Genomic DNA, 15010 nt, shown 5'->3' on the forward strand with positions numbered 1-15010 from the left:
CTTTACTTCTCTAATAAATTTGGTTTCACTTTATGAGCTCGTCCTGAATTCTTTCTTGTGTAATATTCAAGAACCCTCTTTTGGGGTCTGGATTGGGACCCCTTTCCAGTAACATTTCCTCTTCTCTGGTCCCACAATACTTTGTCCATAAGTGATTCTGTACTTATTAGCAGATAATTACAAGTATTTTTGTTTATACAATGTCTTACCCCCTAAACTGTCAATAGATTTTGTTCAATTTATTTTTGTATGCTCTAATATAGAGCCTGGCACATAATGTGTATTCAACAAATGTTTACTGAATAAATTTTCAAGGGAATAAGTTTTAATTTCTATCTTTCTGATTGCTTAGTGTTTAATATATTATAAAAAATATGATTCAGGCCGAGCGTGGTGGCTCATGCCTGTAATCCCAGCACTTTGGGAGACTGAGGCGAGGGGATCACCTGAGGTCAGGAGTTTGAGACCAGCCTGGACAATATGATGAAACCTTGTCTCTACTAAAAAATACAAAAATTAGCCAGGCGTGGTGGTGTGCGCCTGTAGTCAGAGCTACTCCAGAGGCTGAGGCAGGAGAATGGCTGGAACCCGGGAGGCGGAGGTTGCAGGGAGCCAAGATGACGCCACTGTACTCCAGCCTGGGCAACAGAGCGACAGACTCCATCTCAAATAAATAAATAAAAAAAAAATAAATAATATGATGCACTTTCAGGATAGCATGCTCTTTGAATCTCTTTAAATAGTGACAGTTTATATTTGAACAGTTATTTTTTCATTTTTCAAAGCACTTTTCCCCAACATTTTATTATGAAAATCTCCAAATATATGGGGGAAAAATAATTGTAAGTGAACACTTGTGTCGGGACTCAGAAACTGATAGCCCAAAATATGGGGCTTTGACCGGCTGAATGGAAGCCTCAAGGTCTCTCTGACCTCACTGCCCAGCACCATCTCTCCCAAAGCACAGGATGAAGTTGAAGTTCCTTTATCTGGCTACAATCCGAACCCACCAAAAGGAACAATTGTTTTTTCTTCCCCTCCTTGTAAGACCAAAAATGTAACCACCTGAACAGACCCTTTCACAAGATAATGTGCAAGTTCATCCCTGTGCCCTGATCCATTCACTTTCCCTAGTCATCTCCTCAACAGAATGCCTCTGCTCCCCTCTCCCCAAGTCTGTTGGCCAGGATGGTAGACAAGCTTCTGAACCCCGTTGGGGGTGTGTAATCACTCTGTGATTCTCCCCATGTACATGTTAATAAATGCATATGCCTTTTCTCCCATTAATCTGCCTTTTGTGAGTTGATTTTTCAGCAAACTTCAGAGGGCAAAGGGAACATTTTTCCCATGGTCCCTATACCCATATATACCCACTACCTAGATTCAAAATCAACATTTTGCTATATTTGCAAAACACTTTTCATAGGCTAATTTTATTATCACCTTTTTAAAAAAATTCTTTTTACAAGTACTGCTCCTTGTGGAGCAGGACTACTCGATAGACAGTGTGCCCAGAGTAGCTTATTATCATTTTTTATTTCACCTAATGACTAAGGTATGATTCTATGTTTTATAGATAAGGAAACTGAAACTGAGGCTTTAATGACTTCCAAGGAGCTTGTCTGCCAGAAGTTGTAATCAACTTGTGCCAGCTGATCTGTCCACACCCTCTATCCACAGGTGTTAGATATGTAACCTAGGTCTGAAAAATATTTAGAATATTCTTGTGATGAAAAGCTTGCAATTCCACAACACAGGGGAATCAGCAAAATCATGGGAAAACCAATAGAATACATTTCTAACTCATGAATCATTCAGAGAAAAATCCAGTCTTGGGTTTTCCCTCCCCCTCATCCCATTTCTATTCCTGATTAGTCATCATTTCCTGCCCAGCCTGTCTGAGATGTTTCTTCCATCCTTTCTTTTCCAGTAACAGTAACCTGGTGCGGGTCTACAGTATCTGTTATCTCAGCTGATTTCCTTTCTGCCTTTTCATGAACCAGAGACATGTGATTTCCAATTAAAGCACAGCCCTGACCATGTCTTTGCTCAGCTTACAAAACGTCAACGGCTCGCAGCTATCCACCGAATTAAGCCTACTATAATCCCCTTCCTTCCACACTACAACCTATCCACGCATCTGTCCTCTTACTCCTTAGCTTCCATCTTACATGACTAAGAGTTGTTTCCCCAAATACACCCTTATTTACTTTTTTCATTTATAACTCACCACCACCCCCTCCAAAGTTTCACGTGGGTAAATTCTAGACCTCCACGTCATAGGCCAACTCAAATGCCAATCCTTCTAATGAACCTTCTAGAGAGCCCGGGCCTGTTGTCATCTCTATAGCCAATCTTTGGCATCTTGTGGCAATAATCTCATTCTACCTTGTAGAGCTTTCTGGTCTGACTTCCCTTGCCACCTTCTGCTCCCTTTGCCTAAGTATAACACTTTTGAGGAAAAGAACGCTGTTTTAATCATCGTCGCCTCGCCCACAGGCGGTGCTTTATTGTGCTTAATATCGTTTAACGCATCACACACTGCCGAGGGGGTCGGAGGCGGACGCCTTTTGCTGTATCCACACAGACCCGCGCAGGCACACACGTAGGCCGTCTGCCACTCTGACAGACACGTGTCCCCTGGGCCACAGCCCTGGAACTGTCTCGGGATTCCCAGCCTGTGGGCGCTTCCATGCTGGCCAGCGGAAGGGGACGCTTTTTTCTTCAGAACAGCTCCAACGGATACCTCTTATTTTAGACCGCCTGCGGATTCTATCTATAAATCAGCCTAAGCCCCGCTTCCTTTTAAAACAGGATTACGCCGGGTCGAGGGAGCCTGGCGTGGCCGCGCAGTGGCCGGGTCCCGCGGATTCCCCTCCAGCTCCCGCTTGGTAGCGCCCGCTTTGTCAGCGCGCAGCGCTCGCCGGGCGCCCTGCAGGTCTCGCCAGGTCTCACAGCAGACGGTGCCGACGCAGCGGTGTTGCACCTCCCTCTCCGGCTCTGCTGCCCGGGATTTCCCCAGAACCTGCGCCGCGCGAGAAGGAGCCTGGGAGCATCCGCCCACACTGCCCGGACAGTCGGCTCGACTCGGTGCCCTCGGCCCCAGCCGGGCTCCGCTCCTCGGGCGCGCGAGGGGCCGTGGTGGCGGCGGCGCCCGGCATGTTTCATAGTCCGCGGCGGCTCTGCTCGGCCCTGCTGCAGAGGGACGCGCCCGGCCTGCGCCGCCTGCCCGCCCCAGGGCTGCGCCGCCCGTTGTCCCCGCCGGCTGCTGTTCCCAGGCCCGCATCCCCCCGGCTGCTGGCGGCGGCCTCGGCGGCCTCGGGCGCCGCGAGGTCGTGTTCCCGAACAGGTGAGTGCACCCCAGTTCCGGGCGGAGAACGCCACGGCCGCCAACGCGCGGCCGCCACCTGGAGACCGCGCGGAATGAATGAGAAGCCCGGGGCTGCCGGTCGTGGAGTCTGGCCTGAAAGTGGGTCCTTTACCGGAGCAACCTTCTGCGTTCCCTTTTTCCTCTTTCCCTGTTCCCCGACTTGCCTGGGGCTTGCATCAAAGCTAGTAAGAACTGGGAGACTGTATTCAGGTTCCCGCTTGACCCTTAGAGGCCATGCTTTCAGAATTTCTTGTTCTTGACCGTTAAATTTCCCCCTTCCGAGGCCGCGAGTTACTATGTTGGTTACATTTTTTATTGCACGACTTAACGGAAATTTTTATGGAAAAAAAAATCTAAATGATGCTTATTTGCTTATATAGCTTTCATGGTCTAGATATTAAGTTTTTTTTTTAAGTCGTGATAATAACACATTGATTCGTTTTACGTTGTTTTTTTTTTTTTTTTTTTTTTTTTTTTTTGAGATGGAGTCTCACTGTGTCACCCAGGCTGGAGTCCAGTGGCACGATATCGGCTTACCGCAACCTCCCGCTCCCGGGTTCAAGCGATTCTCCTGCCTCAGCCTCCCGAGTAGCTGGGATTACAGGCGCCAGTCACCACGCCTAGCTAACTTTTGTATATTTAGTAGAGACGGGGGTTTCACCATTTTGGCCAGGCTGGTCTTGAACTCCTGACCTCGTGATCCACCCGCCTCAGCCTCCCAGAGTGCTGGGATCACAGGCGTGAGCCACCGCGCTCGGCCATTTTACGTTTCTTTGGATTTTTTTTTTTTGGAGGCTTCCACTCTTTATAGTTAACATCATTTTTTGTCCTGTGTATCTAAGATCTTGTAAAAGTGAGGCCTTAGTTTCACCAAGAGCTGTTTTCATACATCATAATAACTACCCTGAGTTTTCCTTTTTTGCTACCTCTGTTTCTGCCTGGGCACACATTACCATGGCCACAAATTACATACAAATTAATTATACTTTAAAAATTGATAAATTTTTTCTTTCAAAACTAGGCAATACATAACTTTTTTTTTTTTTTTTTTTGAGACGGAGTTTTGCTCTTATTTCCCAGGCTGGAGTGCAATGGCGCGATCTCGGCTCACCGCAACCTCTGCCTCCCGGGTTCAAGCGATTCTCCTGCCTCAACCTCCCGAGAAGCTGGGATTACAGGCATGCGCCACCGCGCCAGGCTGATTTTTGTATTTTTAGTAGAGATGGGGTTTCTCCATGTTGGTCAGGCTGGCCTCGAACTCCCTAGCTCAGGTGAACCTCCCGCTTTGGCCTCCCAAAGTGCTGGGATTACAGGCGTGAGCCACCGCCCCCCCGGCCTATAAAATTTAAAAAAATAGGCCGGGCGCGGTGGCTCACGCCTGTAATCCAGCACTGTGGGAGGCGGAGGCGGGTAGATCACCCGAGGTCAGGAGTTCGTGACCATCCTGGCCAATGGGCTTGGGCGTGGTGGCACTCGCCTGTAATCCCAGCTACTCTGGAGGCTGAGGCAGGAGAATCACTTGAACCTGGGAGGCGGAGTGTTGCAGTGAGCCGAGATCGCACCATTGCACTCCAGCCTGGGTGACAAGAGTAAAACTCCGTCTCAAAACAAAATTAATAAAAATTTTAAAAAATGTATATATTTTAAAAATGGTCATCTGGAATGTGATTGAAGCCAAGACTTTAAACTATTCGCATTGTTGGCAGATATTTAGGTATTTCCCAATCTAGTATCAAACTCCTGGCCTCGAGTTATCCTCAGACTCTGGAGCAGTTGAGATTTGCAGGTGGAAGCCACCATGCCCAACTTAGTCATTTTAAAATTAGGATGTTGAATTGGTTGCTGGAGATTCTGAACTATATTGTTCCTTAGAGTGAACTTGACAGTTAGATTCCCCACCCCCACCCCCAATTTCGTAGGAATGTGGTACATTGTGAAATAACTGCCAGAATGAGTATATTGCCTGATAACTTTTTTCTTGCTGGAAATTTTAAGAACAACATTGTTAGAGGTTTGAGGTAGGAAAAGTAAAAGAAAACCAGGTGATGTCTTCTGTACCAGCTTATATCTTAAATTCCCTCAAAGTCTCAGAGGCAGGGTTAGTAGGTACCTCCTCATGGGAATACTGTTAGCTTGTGTAAAACATAGATGGCTGTGTTATCTGAGTAATTACTGTTATCTGAGTAATAATATCAGGTCAGATTGGAATGTTGGGCTTTTGACCCAAGAAAGTGTTTAATGAACTTCTTTTAAGAAATCCCCTGAAACCCCCTAGTTTTACAGATAAGGAAATTGAAGGACTTTATGGTACTTAAACTTTTGTAGGCAGTTACTATAAAGTCTAGACAATTTTCCTGTTCATGCATTTTTAGCTTCAGCAGCTTGTTGGAAGAAACATGCCTGCATTGATTCATTCATTGCTTGTTCACTCATTCCAGATCTTTACAGAATGTCTCACACAATGTAGGTGCTTTATTATGGGAGTTAAAAACATGAGCTTTAGTCAGTCCCTAAGGAGTTTACTGCCCAGTAAGAGATGAGATTTGCACAATGAAATGGCTGTTTAATGAAATGAAACACCTTTTATTCTCTTGACTTGGAAATGGCACAAGGGTGCAGGAAAGCAGGAAGTCCCTTTTGGGCTTCTAGAAATGGGTGGCATTTCAGCTGGCTCTTGAAGCATGGTTAGGATTGGAAGAGATTACTATAAAGCGTTTTGTTTGGAAAAAGCAGGAGTAAATGCAGAAAGGCATGAGACACACACAGATGAGGAAGGGTGAGAGAAGAGGCACTTTGCAAAAATGGACATTGTTTTCCAAAGAGCCTCAGACCCAGCACTAAGTGCTTTTTAATTTTAATTTTTATTTTTATTTTTTTTGAGACAAGGTTCTCTCGCACTGTTGCCCAGGATGGAGTGTAGTGGCGCCACCTCTGCTCACTGCAACCTCCACCTCCCAGGCTCAAGCAGTTCTCCTGTCTCAGCCTCCTGAGCAGCTGTGACTACAGGCACACGCCACTGTGCCGGGCTAATTTTTGTATTTAGTAGAGACAGGATTTCAACGTGTTGCCCGGGCTCGTCTCAAACTCCCCAGCTCTGGTGATCCACCTGCTTTGGCCTTCCAAAGTGCTGGGATTACAGGTGTGAGCCACTGCGCCCAGCCTATGAAGTGCTTTTTTAAAATGCAGATTCTTGGATCCTACTGTAGACCTATTAAGTCTGAGTCATTCATGATGGGCCCTGGATTCCACATAACCAAATGAAATGACAAAAAGAATAACTCCAGATTGTTCTTCTATGCCCTCAAATTTGGACATCTGGCACCCATATGTGAGAGAGACATTGAAGGGGCCAAAAGCTCCTCTCCACTCCTGAGCCTTGTGGTGGGGAGTAGTGAGTCCCGACAGCTGTCCACATTTGCTAATCAGTTCCTGCATAACTTATGCCCCTTGGCAATTGGTAGTTATTGGGAAGATAAGTACAGTCCCTTTGGAGTTATCAGATTCCAGGTTGTTAGAATTAAAAGGTGACCCTAGGGATGATCTCGGTGTTTGGCTTTCTTTTCTCAAGGATAGCAGCCCCCCTAAGAAGTAGCAGTTGCCACAGTTACTGTACTGGATGAAACGCAGTTGGAAGTCATCTGTGGATTTATAAATGCTATCCTCCACATCCCTCCTCCTCAGAGAATGAAGAGCTGGCTGAACTACTGTTCTCTACCATTAGAACATTTGCTTTTTTTCATGGTACAATTTATAGGCAAATGCCACCAGCTCATTTGAGAAGGCAGCTTTATTTAATATGTCCTTTAACTATGTGAGTAAACTGCTTATGAGAGAGAAGAAACGGGAAAGCTTGTCATTATCAAGCTGCTATGGAATAAATTGCTTTCCTTGTGGGAAAACTAATGTATGATTTTTCTGTTAGCATTCAATGGCAACAGTTTAAACATGGTGAACTGGGGTTCTTTGGGGTTAATAACCATGGCTCCAGATTCACATTCCACACACTTAACATTTGTAAATCATTTAACCTTGCTTGCTGTCTCAACACTAGACTTTACCTAGAACAAATGAATAAGATCAATTGATAGCAATTTATCCACAAGCTTTATTGAATAGTACATGTAAAAGGTGACATGACTAATTGCAGTGGGAGTTGAGAAGAAAGAAATCAGTGTGGCTGAATTTGTCAAGAAATGCTTTGCTTCTAATAGGTGAAAAAGGAGGGTGTTTTGGAAGGGGACAGTTTGCGGGGTGGTGGGGGCAGGCAGAGAAGACCACACACACAATGCCTGGAAGAAGGTGGCGCTCGCATGCAGGAGCTGTGGCAAGCATCTTAGGAAAAGGGGTAGAGGCAGAATCATTTGGGACAGTTGTTAAAATGCAGATTTCTGGCCTTTCAGCCCTCTGCTTGATCAGTTTCCTGTGGAGAAGCCCGGTGGAGTGCATATTTAACAAGTGCCTCAGGGGATTCTTCCAAAAAGATTAGGGAGTATTTATGAGCTCTGCCCCTCCTTTCCCCAAAGGTACTTATTCCTGGAAAGCTTGAGAAGCTCTGGAGAGGATTCTGGAAGAGCCTTAAGACCTTTGGTCTGGCCGGGCACAGTGGTTCACGCCTGTAATCCCAGCACTTTGGGAGGCCGAGGTGCGGATCACTTGAACTGAGGCATTCAAGACCAGCCTGGGCAACATGGTGAAACCCTGTCTCTACTTACATTAGAAAAAAAATAGCCAAGTGTGGTGGTGCACACCTGTACATCCCAGCTGCTTCGGAAACTGAGGCAGGAGAATCACTTGAACCCAGGAGGCGGAGGTATCAGTGAGCCGAGATTGCGCCATTGCACTCCAGCCTGGGCGACAGTAGGAGCAATACTCTGTCTCAAAAAAAAAAAAAAAAAAAGGATCTTTGAGCTTGGGGCCTAAGGCAGTTCAAGAGACCCCTGAGAAAGAACATTGACCCCCGAAAAAAGCAGCTTTAAAAAATTGTATATTTTGTCGAGACGGGTTTTGCCGTGTTGCCCAGGCTGGTCTCGAAATCCTGGGCTCAAGCAATCCTCCCGCCTCAGCCATCCAAAAGTGCTGAGATTACAGGCATGAGCCATCACGCCCCGCCAAAAGCAGCTTTTAAGAAAGGGAAGAAATTCCAGGGCCGGGCACAGTGGCTCAAGCCTGTAATCCCAGCACTTTGGGAGGCCAAGGCAGGCGGATCACCTGAGGTCGGGAGTTCGAGACCAGCCTGACCAACATGGAGAAACCCCATTTCTACTAAAAATACAAAATGAGCTGGGCGTGGTGGCACGCACCTGTAATCCCAGCTACTCTCAAAGAAAAAAAAAAGGGAAGAAATTTGCATATTAATGAAAGTTCAGTGAGAGGAAACTTGAGACTGAGGTTGTAATGGGAGTGTATCCATGTAGTCACTCTAAGTCACAACTTAGAGTAAAATGAGGTTTCTATGATGTTTACTAAAAGAAAAGTGAGGTAATTGTGTTCTGGCTTCTTGGAGTTAGGAAGGGAGATACAGCGTCTGTATTTGCTGTCAGGAGTCACTGGTGACTAATTACAGTTTTTCTGGTTTTTTTTTTTTTTAGACAGTTTTGCTCTTGTTGCCCAGGCTGGAGTGCAGTGGCGCAATCTTGGCTCACTGCAACCTGTGCCTCCCGGGTTCAAGCAATTCTCCTGCCTCAGCCTCCCAAGTAGCTGGGACTACAGGCATGCGCCACCATGCCCGGCTAATTTTTTTGTATTTAGTAGAGACAGGGTTTCACCATGTTGGTCAGGCTCCTCTCGAACTCCTGACCTCAGGTGATACACCCGCCTTGGCCTCCCAGAGTGCTGGGATTACAGGTGTGAGCCACCACGCCCGGCCACTAATTAGAGTTTATAGGGCTTTGATAGCCACTTAAGTGGTGGTTATACTTCAGTAGATAATTAGAAATTTGAAGGACAGTGTGCCTGGGCGTTTAGCCTCATAGTAAACCTGTTTGGACTTCCACGGAAAGCAGCTAAGATACTTTTTATTTATTGTTATTCTTAGAATGGGAGAAAATCAGCCTTCCCACGGAGGGAGTGAGACCTCAAGTGAAAACCTTAGCTGTCCTCTGTATCTATGTGGCCTCAAAGCAACACTTGAATCATATATTAATACTTAGCAAGAATTCAGTGTCAGGTATGTGGGCAACAGTGCCCAGGGGAAAGAAGGCTAAACAAAATTGGTACCATCCAATTTGAATGTCCTTATAACAATTTTTTTCTCCTTCCAGTATATAAAAAAATGCGTGGGTCCCATTCAGATCTTCTGGATTTTAATATCTCCAAGTGGGGCCTGAGCATCTGCTGATTCTGACATAGGCTCCGGGTAGACAACAGCCACATATTGACAACACAGGCGGACACCTGTGAGGAGGCTCGTTTTACTAAATGCTTAGAAGCCTATTCTAAGTCTCTCAGTGATGTGATTCTCCTGTCCAAAAGTTAGAGACCACTGTTGGATTGTGGAGAGTTGTGCAGAAAGGAAAATATTTATTTTATTTATTGTAGAGACAGGGTCTCACTGTGTTGCCCAGGCTGCTCTTGAGCTCTTGGCAAGTCCATGAAAATAAGTGCTTAGAAGTTACGATGCTGCCCGGGTACCGTGGCTCATGCCTGTAATCCCAGCACTTTGGGAGGCCAAGGAGGTGGGGGGAATCACTTGAGGTTAGGAGTTCGAGACCAGCCTGGGCAGCATGGCAAAAACCCCATCTTTATGAAAAATGTAAAAATTAGCCGGGTGTTGGTGGTGTGTGCCTGTAATCCCAGCTATTCGGGAGGCTGAGGCAGGAGAATTGCTTGAACCAGGGAGGTGGAGGTTGCAGCTAGCTGAGATCGTACCACTGTACTACAGCCTGGGCAACACAGCAAGACTCCATCTCAAAAAAAAAAAAGAAGTTATGATGCATCCAAAGTGACAATAAGAATTGTTCCGGAAGGATATCTGGGAAATTCCTTGGTCTTGATGCATCCTTTCTAGCTGTCTTCCTTTCCCTTTTCTATCTTTCCTCCAACTCTGAGGTTCCAGTACTTAAACAGCTCTGTTTGCCGATCTGCAAATATGCTTGTGACTGCAAATATCTTGTCTAGTACAGGGTGCAAAGTAAGTTACACTGCAGATTCTAATAATACCTGGGATATAATACTTTTCTATTTCCTCTTGTGTGTTTTGCTTTTATGGATGCTAATTATCATTGAAGGTCTGCTGAAGGAAAATGTTTATCTTTCAAATCTTGTAGGTCAAATAGACTCTCTGAGACTTAGTTCTAGAATTAGTTTAATATTTTATTTTTTTGAGATGGAGTCTTGCTCTGTTCCTCAAGCTGGAGTACGATGGCGCGATGTCAGCTCACTGCAACCTCCGTCTCCCGGGTTCAAGCGATTCTCCTGCCTCAGCCTCCCGAGTAGCTGGGGATTACAGGCCCCTGCCACCATGCCCTGCTAATTTTTTGTATTTTTAGTAGAGACGGGGTTTTGCCATGTTGGTCAGGCTGTTCTCGAACTCCTGACCTCAGGTGATACACCCGCCTCGGCCTCTCAAAGTGCTGGGATTACAGGCACCATGCCCGGCCTTGCCTCTGAACTTTTAAAGACCATTGTGAGTATTGATTATCTGTAGAAGCTTACAAGATTTCCTTATCTTTGGTATTCAAAAGATCCATCAGGTTGAATGTCTCAGCATCTGATGCGCCCATCCAATCTAAAGACATGCCTTAGCACATTAAAAGTTTGTATCGGTTGTCTACTGTATTGTCTCTTGTTCTCATGTTCTTGAACTCCTGTTAGATTGTTGGCCATATGGATCTATCCTCCGTGTCTATTCATCCTTTTTTTTTTTTTTTTTTTTTAAATTATTTTAGAGACAGAGTCTCCACTTTGTCACCCAGGCTGGAGTGCACTGGTGTGATCATAGCTCACTGTAACCTCCAACTCCTGGGCTGAAGTGATCCTCCCACTTCAGCCTCTGAAGTAGCTGGGACTATAGGTGTGCTCCACCATGCCTACCTACTTTTATTTTTTTGTAGAGACACGGGTCTCAGCTCAGACTGGTCTCAAACTCCTGGGCTCAAGCAGTCCATCTGCTTCTGCCTCCCAAAGTACTGGATTACAAGCATGAGGCACCTAGCCAGGCCTCCATTCATATTTTAGTGTTTTTATCTCTTCTCTGTTGCATGAGATTTTCTGAAAATTTTTGTTCTGCAGTCATTTTAAATTCCTAGACATTTCTAGTTGTTTAATTGCTCCTTTTTTCATAGAAACCTGTTTTGTGTCTATAATGTCTCTCGTACTTTAAATATATCAAGATGTGTGTGTGCCTGTTTCTCCTTTAGGCCTCTTTCCTGGAGAGGAAGGGAGTTTTGCATGTTGTTTTATTTGTTTGTTTGTTTTTTGAGATGGGGTCTCGCTCTGTCACTCAGGCTGGAGTGCTGTGGCGTGATCTCAGCTCACTGCAGCCTCCATCAACCTGGTTCAAGCACTCCTCCCACCTCAGCCTCCCAAGTAGCTGGGACCACAGGCATGCACCATCATGCCTGGCCCAGTAATACAACAGTTACTGTATTTTTAGTAGAGACAGGTTTTCCCCGTGTTGGCCAGGCTGGTCCCAAACTGCTGAGCTCAAGTGATCGGCCCACCCCGGCATCCCAGAATACTGGCATTACAGGTGTGAGCCACCGCGCCCAGCCAGTTTTGCATGTTCTGAGTGGGAAGGTAATCTGGAGAACGGGCAGCCAGGCTTCCTTGTTGAATGCGTGAGAGGGAGCAGGCTGGTAACTACCGCCTTTGTCAAAGAAAGGAGGGTTTCCTTCTATATTCTTCAGTCCAACCCCTTCCCCGCTTTTTAAAACCATCCTTGAGTTTCAGAGTTAGCTCCTGATCTGGTCTGCTTCTCTTTCAGGTCCATTCACCTTTGCAAGCCATTCTAAGGCTATCACCCATTTTCTTTGGGGTATTCTTTGGTTCTATGGAGCAACCAAAAGCCACCCTTCCCGGCTTTGTCTGTGAGAGAGGGGACACATGTAACTAGTGCCACCGTTCACTTTCATTCTTGAACGAATTGCCCTAACAGTTACCCCCTCAGCTTCTCCTGCCCTTTCTATTTCTTGATTCAGCTTGGAGTTTCTTCAAGGTGCTCTTGGGAAAACCACATTTACCTTTGGTAACTTGTACTGCCCTTTCCTTCTGGTTTCTCTGTTAATTCAAACTTGTTTCTGTCTTCTTGGAATTCCTCCAAATATTTGCTCCATTGATGTCATGCATCCCTTCTTGTTTTCCAATGTTATTGATGCATTCTTTAAAAAATTTTAAAGAGGCCAGGCGCGGTGGCTCACGCCTGTAATCCCAGCACTTTGGGAGGCCAAGGCGGGCAGATTGGGAGTTCCAGACCAACCTGGCCAGCATAGTGAAACCCTGTCTCTACTAAAAATACAAAAATTAGCCATGCGTGGTGGCGGGTGCCTGTAATCCCATCAGCGACTCAGAAAGCTGAGGGAGGAGAATTGCTTGAACCTGGGAGGCAGAGGTTTCAGTGAGCCGAGATGGCGCCATTGCACTCCAGACTAGGCAACAGAGCGAGACTCCGTCTCAAAAAAAAAAAAAAAATTTAAATATAGGCACTTTATTTCTTCAAGATCTTAGGAAGGAGAGAAAGTAAATGTATTTTCTACTTTGCTGTCTTGGCCTAGAACCAACCTGCCCAATGATATGCAACATATTCTTTTTTTAATATGTGCCTTAACTATTCAAGCAATGCACTGGGAATTTGTATATGAAAATTGTTTCCCCTCCTTTTTAAGTGACTAAACATCTTTTATTGGTTTTATGATATATATACAAATAGACTAGTGGTGAGCATAGCTGCCTTCCAAATGGACTATACAATTTTATTTTTTATTTATTTTTTTAGATGAGTCTTGCTCTGTCACCCAGGCTGGAGTGCAGTGGCGCAATCTCTGCTGACTGCAACCTCTGCCTCCTGGGTTCAAGTGATTCTCCTGCCTTAGCCTCCCAAGTAGCAGGGATTACAGGCATGCGCTACCACGCCCAGCTAATTTTGTGTTTTTGGTAGAGACGGGGTTTCACCATGTTAGTCAGGCTGGTCTCGAACTCCTGACCTCTGGTGATCCACCCATCCCAGCCTCCCAAAGTGCTGGGATTACAGGCATGAGCCACCGCCCCTGGCCAATTCTTTTAGGGATGGGGGTCTCTTTATATAGCCCAGGCTGAACTCAAACCCCTGGGTTTAAGGGATCTTCCTGCCTCAGCCTCCCGAGTAGCTGAGACTATAGGTATGTGTCACCATGTTTGGCTCATTATTTAAAAATTTTTCATACTTCTTTTTTTTTTTTTTGAGACAGAGTTTCACTCTTGTCACCCAGGTTGGAGTGCAGTGGCACGATCTCGGCTCACTGCAAACTCCACCTGCTGGGTTCAAGTTATTCTCCTGCCTCAGCCTCCCAAGTATCTGGGATTACAGGTGCCCACCGTCACACCCAACTAATTTTTGTATTTTTAGTAGAGATGGGGTTTTTGCCATGTTGGCCAGGCTGGTCTTGAATTCCTGACCTCAGGTGATCTGCTCGCCTCAGCCTCCCAAAGTGTTGGAATTACAGGTGTGAGCCACCATCCCTGGCCTTTTTTTTTTCTTTTTTTTTTTTTTTTTTTTTTTTTTTTTTTGAGACGGAGTCTCGCTCTGTCGCCCAGGCTGGAGTGCAGTGGCGCGATCTCGGCTCACTGCAAGCTTCGCCTCCCGGGTTCACGCCATTCTCCTGCCTCAGCCTCCCGAGTAGCTGGGACTACAGGCGCCCGCTACCACGCCCGGCTAATTTTTTGTATTTTTTTTTTAGTAGTGACGGGGTTTCACCGTGTTAGCCAGGATGGTCTCGATCTCCTGACCTCGTGATCCGCCCGCCTCGGCCTCCCAAAGTGCTGGGATTACAGGCGTGAGCCACCGCGCCCGGCCTCTTTTTTTTTTTGAGACAGGGTCTTCCTCTGTCACCCAGACTGGAGTGCAGTGGCGCAGAGCCAGCTCACTGCAGGCTCAGCCTCCTGGGCTCACGCAATCCTCCTGCCCCAGCCTCCCAAGTAGCTGGGACCACAGGTGCATGCCACCATGCCTGGCTAAAGGCTCATTTTAATATATCTAGAGCAGAGGTTGGCAAACTTTTTCCATAAAGAGCCAGCTAGTAAATATTTTAGGCTTTCTGGGCCATATATCTGTCGCAGCTACTCAACTCTGCTGTTGTAGTGTGAAAGCAGCTATAGACAATATGTAAACTTTATTTATGGACTTTTTTTTTTGAGACCGAGTCTGGCTCTGTCGCCCAGGCTGGAGTGCAGTGGCGCAATCTTGGCTCACTGCAAGCTCCGCCTCCCGGGTTCACTCCATTCTCCTGCCTCAGCCTCCCGAGTAGCTGGGACTACAGGCGCCCACCACTAAGCCCGGCTAATTTTTGTATTTTTAGTAGAGACAGCATTTCACTGTGTTAGCCAGGATGATCTCGATCTCCTGACCTCGTGATCCGCCCGCCTCGGCCTCCCAAAGTGCTGGGATTACAGGCTTGAGCCAACGCGCCTGGCCTATTTATGAACATTAAAATTTGAATTTCATATCAT

The 15010-nt window shown here is 46.2% G+C and overlaps 1 protein-coding gene across 1 annotated transcript in view, besides 5 other annotated features; it reads left to right on the top strand.

Moving 5' to 3' along the window:
• Nucleotides 1319-2518: an enhancer, noted in NCBI's record as "P300/CBP strongly-dependent group 1 enhancer chr4:139935295-139936494 (GRCh37/hg19 assembly coordinates)". NCBI's record gives its function as "activates an origin of replication core promoter dependent on BRD2, BRD4, P300/CBP, MED14 and CDK7 cofactors, with strong dependence on P300/CBP, by STARR-seq in HCT116 cells {active_cell/tissue: HCT116}" and the evidence as "EXISTENCE:reporter gene assay evidence [ECO:0000049][PMID:35650434]".
• Nucleotides 1319-2576: a biological region, named in NCBI's record as "P300/CBP strongly-dependent group 1 enhancer GRCh37_chr4:139935295-139936494".
• Nucleotides 1655-2576: an enhancer, noted in NCBI's record as "H3K27ac hESC enhancer chr4:139935631-139936552 (GRCh37/hg19 assembly coordinates)". NCBI's record gives its function as "activates a minimal SCP1, AML or CMV promoter by ChIP-STARR-seq in primed H9 embryonic stem cells {active_cell/tissue: H9 hESC(primed)}" and the evidence as "EXISTENCE:reporter gene assay evidence [ECO:0000049][PMID:30033119]".
• Nucleotides 2609-2958: an enhancer, noted in NCBI's record as "active region_21917". NCBI's record gives its function as "activates an Ori minimal core promoter by ATAC-STARR-seq in GM12878 lymphoblastoid cells {active_cell/tissue: GM12878}" and the evidence as "EXISTENCE:reporter gene assay evidence [ECO:0000049][PMID:35858748]".
• Nucleotides 2959-15010, top strand: part of NOCT (nocturnin) — a 30159-nt gene continuing 18107 nt past the window's right edge. The window contains exon 1 of the mRNA NM_012118.4: nt 2959-3349. Coding sequence (NP_036250.2) covers nt 3160-3349 — 190 coding nt within the window. The 5' untranslated portion in view covers nt 2959-3159. The remainder of the gene's footprint in view (nt 3350-15010) is intronic.
• Nucleotides 3099-3398: a silencer, noted in NCBI's record as "silent region_15693". NCBI's record gives its function as "represses an Ori minimal core promoter by ATAC-STARR-seq in GM12878 lymphoblastoid cells {active_cell/tissue: GM12878}" and the evidence as "EXISTENCE:reporter gene assay evidence [ECO:0000049][PMID:35858748]".

This window comes from Homo sapiens, chromosome 4 (assembly GCF_000001405.40).
Source record: "Homo sapiens chromosome 4, GRCh38.p14 Primary Assembly".
In the NCBI taxonomy this organism is placed as follows: Eukaryota; Metazoa; Chordata; class Mammalia; order Primates; family Hominidae; genus Homo; species Homo sapiens.